This window comes from Homo sapiens, chromosome 1, assembly GCF_000001405.40.
Source record: "Homo sapiens chromosome 1, GRCh38.p14 Primary Assembly".
Classification (NCBI taxonomy): domain Eukaryota; kingdom Metazoa; phylum Chordata; class Mammalia; order Primates; family Hominidae; genus Homo; species Homo sapiens.
Window position 1 is genome coordinate 192,710,281 of NC_000001.11, and position 6,717 is coordinate 192,716,997.

General features: G+C 38.1%; 1 non-coding gene and 1 pseudogene across 1 annotated transcript; both read left to right on the plus strand.

Moving 5' to 3' along the window:
* Positions 5,855-6,403, plus strand: RPS27AP5 (ribosomal protein S27a pseudogene 5; annotated as a pseudogene).
* MIR4426 (microRNA 4426) lies at positions 6,048-6,110 on the plus strand. The gene has a single exon (NR_039624.1). It is a non-coding gene; the product is annotated as a microRNA 4426 (primary transcript).

A 6,717-nucleotide genomic window follows, 5' to 3' on the forward strand; every position in this document is an offset into this window, starting at 1 on the left:
ATGAGAAAAATTCAGAATCACGAGAATAAACTATGTGCCAATTAAATATTAAGATAGTTTTAAAATGATAGTTCATTAAAGAAGCAAATGGCAATATTTCTTTTTTTCCTTCAACTTTTAAGTTCAGGGGTACATGTGCAGGATGTGTAGGTTTGTTATATAGGTAAATCTGTGCTGTGGGCAAATAGAGATACTTCTTTTCAGTCATTCCTTATTTTGAAATTCTTTTTTAAAACTGTTAATCAGGTTAATAATCTAAAGAAAAAGTTTCCAACCCTTTCCTGGATAGTCTGCATTTATCCAAAGGGTACATATCATTTTAGCATTCGCTATATAACTTGGAACAAGTAAGGAAAAAGATTAACTACTTGTGACCATAGCCCTTTAGAAGCGTTTTTGATTCCCTCGGAAACTCAAATTCTTGTGATATATCAGAATTGTTATAAGAGTAACAGAATAACATTTTGTTTCTTTTACTCCTCAGCCCTACTGAATTTTGCTAACAAGTTGGAACTTTGAGTTATTTTGGCTCAGAGAGCATTTTTTAGGATGGAGGTACATTGCTTATTATCCTTTTATTCTTCAATTCTCTCTTGGGCTTCCTAATCACAAAACATTCATTAAACTACCATTCTCTTTATCATTAACAGATCAGGTAACTTTAAATATTTCTGTATTCTTAAGCAAAGGGAAAGTGGTCATTGTGGGCACCTGTATAAATGTTAGTTTTTAAAGCTTCATCAGATAGAACCAAAAATAAACTACAGAGTGTGGACCACATCTCAGAGGTTTAATTAAAACTCAATCAATCACGTTATATGCATTGAGTGAAATAAATGATCTGTGATAAAAATATGTGTTCATATGTTTTAGCCAAAAAAATAAAATTCTTGCTTAATTAAAGCAAAAATTCTAATGAATTCAAGTGTATATTTATATGATGCTATTTTAAAAATAGTAATGATGCAGCTATTATTTGTGTGAGTTTTTATATCAAGAATACTATAAATATATTCTGGTACACATGTCCCTTTGGTTTTATTTTTATTTTCTTAGCTAAGGATAATAACATTATTACCCCTACAAAAATTGTATATGCTCATTATAAGTAACCAAAAATAAAACAATGTAGTACAAAAGAAAATATTCTTAAATCCCTTAAAATCTTAACATTTAGAAATTATTTTCTGAAAGTTTATTGATTAACACTCTGGACATTTTTCCTATGTACAGAGAGAGAAGAAAAGGTAGAAATATATATAGATAATTGATTGTTCCACTTGTTAAAAAGATAAGTCAGTCAAGTTGCTAAGTAAATTTATATTAAACTTACAGCCTGGAAAATTGTCTTGAAAGATAAATATTTTAGTTTCAAGAGCAAGGCACTTAAGAGACACAAGAGTTTTTTCATTTTCCAATGATCTGGACTTCGAGAGGCAAAGCCATGAAGAAACAAGGCATAAAGTTTGTACCATAAACAGGAAGTTCAATTACTTTTGAGAAACTGAATCCTGCCAAGCATCATGTGACTGAGCTTGGAAGCAGATCCTTCCCCACTGGAGCCTTGAGATGACTGCAGCCCCCAACTAACACCTTGATTGTGGCTTTCTGAGAGGCCCTGAGCCAAAGGACTTAACAAAACTACACCTGAATTCCTAATCCACAGACGCTGCTAGACGGTAAATGTTATTTAAGCCATTAAAGTTTGGGGTAATTTGGTACACAGCAGCAGATAACTAATCTATCATCTAGTACATCAAAACCTAAAATGAGAAACTGGAATTAAATAATTAATATTGAATTAAAATTCTATCTCTTATAGAAATGTATGCATGGATTGGACTCCCTATAATCATCTTTATATCCTTATTTTTTCCATTTCATTTTAGATCATTTCATTAAATCTACTTACCATTTTACTGATTCTGTTTTCAACTGTGTATATGTTCTTTTCATTGCTTCTAATATGTTTTTCATCTCCATTATGTTTTCTTTTTTATTCCATTTTGTTTATAAGTTCTTCCAGCTTACTTCCACCTCATTCTGTTTTCTTTATGATATTATTTTGGAGATATTGTATTCTCTGCTTTGTTTAAAATACAGGAAAATTCTTTATCTTAACATCATTCAAAAATTATTTTTTCTGTTATTCTGGGTAATTCCCCTCACAATATATGTTCTTCATCTAGTTTTAATTATATTCATTTCCTCCTTTTGCATTTGTATGCATAGGTACTGTCCTAGTCATTTCTAATTATTACTTTTTTAATAAATGGATCTGCTAATTGTTCTAAAACTATATGAAAGAGGGGTTAGAATAGGTAACAGGCAATGAGTATTCTGGGACATTATATAGCCTCTATTTAAGACTGAAAGTATGTGTGCTCCCAGAATGCATACACTGAAATCCTAACCCCCAGTGATAATATTAGTGGGTGAGGTCTTTGGGAGGTGATTAGGTCATGAGGATGAAGTCTTCATGAATGGGTTGACAGCTCTTATACAAAGAACTACAAAGAGTTCTCTTTTCCATCCACCACGTTTCCATCCACAGACAGAAGACAAATATTTATGAACCAAGAAGCAGACCCTCATCACATATGGAATTTGTTGGCACCTTGATATAGGATTCTCCATCCTCTAGAACTGTGAATAATACATTTCTGTTGTTTAGAAGCCACCCAGTCTATGGTATTCTGTTATAGCGGCCTAAATGTATCAAAAGACAGCCTCCATTATTATACATTGTCCCCAACAATACTTACCATCTCACTAAAACTGCTATTTTCTCTGCAATGGGGGCACATCTTTCCTCAATTTTTAGCACTCAAGTAAATAGTGTGGCTTAGTGTAATAAAGACCCTCTTTAGCACCCCCTTCATCCATTTTACTTCCAACAAGAAGCCTAGTTCCCAGGTAATAAAACGTCATTTGTCCTGGGATCTGCCTCACTTGGTATTCCTTGGTGTCAAATTGTGTCACTCTAGGAACAATTCTAGTTTTCCTTACATAAAAATTACTGAATGCTCTTTTCAGAATTGTAACTATTTTTTTAGGACAAATATGTAACTTCCTCAAGGTCCAAGCAAGTATATGATGGCTTACAACATAATCTTCACAATATATGACCAATAAACAGAGTTCACAGTTTCTAATTTGGAATTGTGGCCATTTCTCAGGTCATTTTTTTCTCTAGTTATAATTCTTTTTATTGACTTAGTTGATTTTGTAGGAAAGAAAGTTAAAAATTCCTTGATTCCCTTATCAATAAATCGAGTTCTATTCTTAAAAATTAAAAAAAAAAGAAGGTAAAGCAAGATGGGCTAATAGAAGCCTTCACCAATTGCCTCCCCACCCCATACATACACAGGAACAGTAAATTTAACAAGTATCTACACACACACAAAAGCACCTTCCTAAGAACCAAAAATCAAGTGAACAATCTCACAGCACCTGAGATCACTGGTGCTGTGATCACTGATGCTGTGATAACTTTGTATCACTGAAAGAACCACTGAAGAAGGTAAGAAAGACAGCCTCGAATCACCAACACCATCCTGCCCCTATCCCCCAGCAGTGGCCATGTAGCATGAAGAATTTGGGGGAGGGAGAATGCATTGAGTGTGGGACCCTGCACTGAACTCAGTGCTGCCCTGTCACAGCAGAAAGCAACACTAGGCTAAACTCAGCCAACAACTCACCCATGGGAGGAACATTTAGACCAGCCCTAGCTAGAGGGGAATTGCCACTCATCCTGGTGGTTGGAACTTGAGTTTTGGCAAGCCTCACCACTGCGGGCTAAAGTGCTCTGGGGTTCTAAATAAATTTAAAAGGAAGTCTAGGCCACAAGGACTGCAATTCTGAGGCAAGTCCTAGTGCTATGCTGGGCTCAGAGCCAGTGGATGTCAGGGGTATGGAACCTAGTGAGACATTTGTTTTAGGCAGCCAGGAAGGCTAACGGAGTGCTTGTGCCATGCCTCCCCCGATCCTAAGCAGCACAGCTCGTAGCAACAAGGTGCCTCTTTCCTTCTGCTTGAAGAGAGGAGAGGGAAGAATAAAGAGGACTTTGTCTTGCATCTTGGATACCAGCTTCCCCACAGAAAAATATGGCAATGGACAAGAGTCGAGCAGCCTACCTCTTGGATAACATATCTAGACACACCCTGGGCCAGGAAGGAACCCATTGCCTTGAAGGAAAGGACCTAGTCCCGGCAGGATTCATTACCTGCTGACTAAACAGCACTTGAGCACTAAAGAACCAGCAGCAATACCATAAATAGCATGTCGTGGGCCTGGGGAGAGATTCTGGGATGTGCTGGCTTCAGGTGAGACCTAGCACATTCTGAGGTATGGTAGCTACTATGAGAGATTCCTTCTACTTGAGAAAAGCAGAGGGAAAATTTAAAGAGGCTTGGTCTTTCACCTTAGTTACCATCTCAGCCACAGTGAGGTAGAGCACCATGCAGGCTCTTAGGGTTCCTGATTCCAGGACTTGGCCCTTGGATGGCATTTCTGGACTTGCCCTGTGCCAGAAGGGAGCCCATTGCCCTGAAGGGTAAGTCCCAGGCCTGGCAGCATTCATGACAAACTGACTGAAGAGCACTTGGACCTTAAGTGCACATTGGTGATAGCCTAGTAATACCTACCATTGTTCCGTCATGGTGGTGACCACAGCAAGAGGCTCCTCTGCTTATGGAAAGGAGAGGAAAGAGTGGGAAGAACTTCATCTTATTTGGTAGAATAAAGAAGCAGGTAGATTTCTTAGGTTTTTGACTCTAGTCCTTGGCTTCTATATGGCATCTCTGGACCCACCTGAAGCTTGGGAGAACTCACCACCCTGAAGGGAAGGACATGAGCCTGGCTGACTTCACCACCTGCTGATTGTAGAGGTTTAGGGCCTTCAGCAAACATAGGCAGTAGCCAGGGAGTGGTTATGTCAGGCTTTAGGTGAGACACAGTGCTGTGCTGGCTTTAGGTATGACCCAGTACAGTCCCAGTGGTGGTAGCCACAGGGTTGCTTGTGTCATTTCAACCCCAGCTCCAGGTGGCTCATAACAGAGAGAGAGAGAGAGAGACCTTGTTTCTTCAGGAGAAAGCAAGGGATGGATGGGGACAAGAGTGTCTGCCTGGTAATCCAGAGAATTCTTCCTAACCCTATCCAAGACTGACAAAGTGGTACCTCTATGAGTCTGCAGGAACCATAGCATTACTGGACTTTGAGTACCCACTGATACAGATATGGCATAGATCACAACACCCAAGTCCTTTCAAATACCTGGAAAGCCTTCCCAAGAAGGATGGGTACAAACAGACCCAGACTGCGAAGACTACAATAAATGCCTAACCTTTCAGTAGTACCCAGACACTGAAGAGCATCCACAAGCATCAGTACCATCCAGGAAAACATGATGTCATCAAATGAAATAAATAAGGCACCAGGAACCAATCTTGGAGAAACAGAGATATGTGACCTTTCAAACAGAATTGAAAATAGCTGTTTTGAGGAAACTCAAAGAAATTCAAGATAACACAGAAAAGGGATTCAGAATTTTATCAGATACATTTAACGAAGGGATTGGAATAATTAAAAAGAATCAAGCAGAAATTCTGGAATTGAAAAATGCAAATGGCATACTAAAGAATGCATCAGAGTCTCCTAACAGCAGAATTGATGAAGCAGAAGAAAGAATTAGTAAGCTTGAAGACAGGCTATTTGAAAATACAGTCAGAGAAGACAAAAGAAAAAAAAAAAACAATGAAGTACACCTACAAGATCTAGAAAATAGACTCGAAAAATCAAATCTAAGAGTTATTGGCCTTAAAGAGGAGGTAGAGAAAGATATAGGAGTAGAAAGTTTATTCAGCTTTTCGATCCGCCATCTGCAGTGGAGCCGCCACCAAAATGCAGATTTTCGTGAAAACCCTTATGGGGAAGACCATCACCCTCGAGGTTGAACTCTCGGATACAATAGATAATGTAAAGGCCAAGATCCAGGATAAGGAAGGAATTCCTCCTGATCAGCAGAGACTGATCTTTGCTGGCAAGCAGTTGGAAGATGGACGTACTTTGTCTGACTACAATATTCAAAAGGAGTCTACTCTTCATCTTGTGTTGAGACTTCGTGGTGGTGCTAAGAAAAGGAAGAAGAAGTCTTACACCACTCCCAGGAAGAATAAGCACAAGAGAAAGAAGGTTAAGCTGGCTCTCCTGAAATATTATAAGGTGGATGAGAATGGCAAAATTAGTTGCCTTCATCGAGAGTGCCCTTCTGATGAATGTGGTGCTGGGGTGTTTATGGCAAGCCACTTTGACAGACATTATTGTGGCAAATGTTGTCTGACTTACTGTTTCAACAAACCAGAAGACAAGTAACTGTATGACTTAATAAAAGACATGAACTAAAAAAAAAAAAAAAAAAAGAAAGAAAGTTTATTCAAAGGGATAATAACAGAGAACTTCCCAAACATAGAGAAAGATATAAATATCCAAGTACAGGAAGGTTATAGAACACCAAGCAGATTTAACCCAAAGAAGACTAACTCAATGCATTTAATAATTAAACTCCCAAAGGTCAAAGATAAAGAAAATATCCTGAAAGCAGCAAGAAAAAATAAACAAATAACATAAAATGGAACTCAAATAATTCTGGCAGCAGACGTTTCAGTGGAAACCTTATGAGCCAGAAGAGTTGCATGAAAAATTTAAAGTGCTGAAGG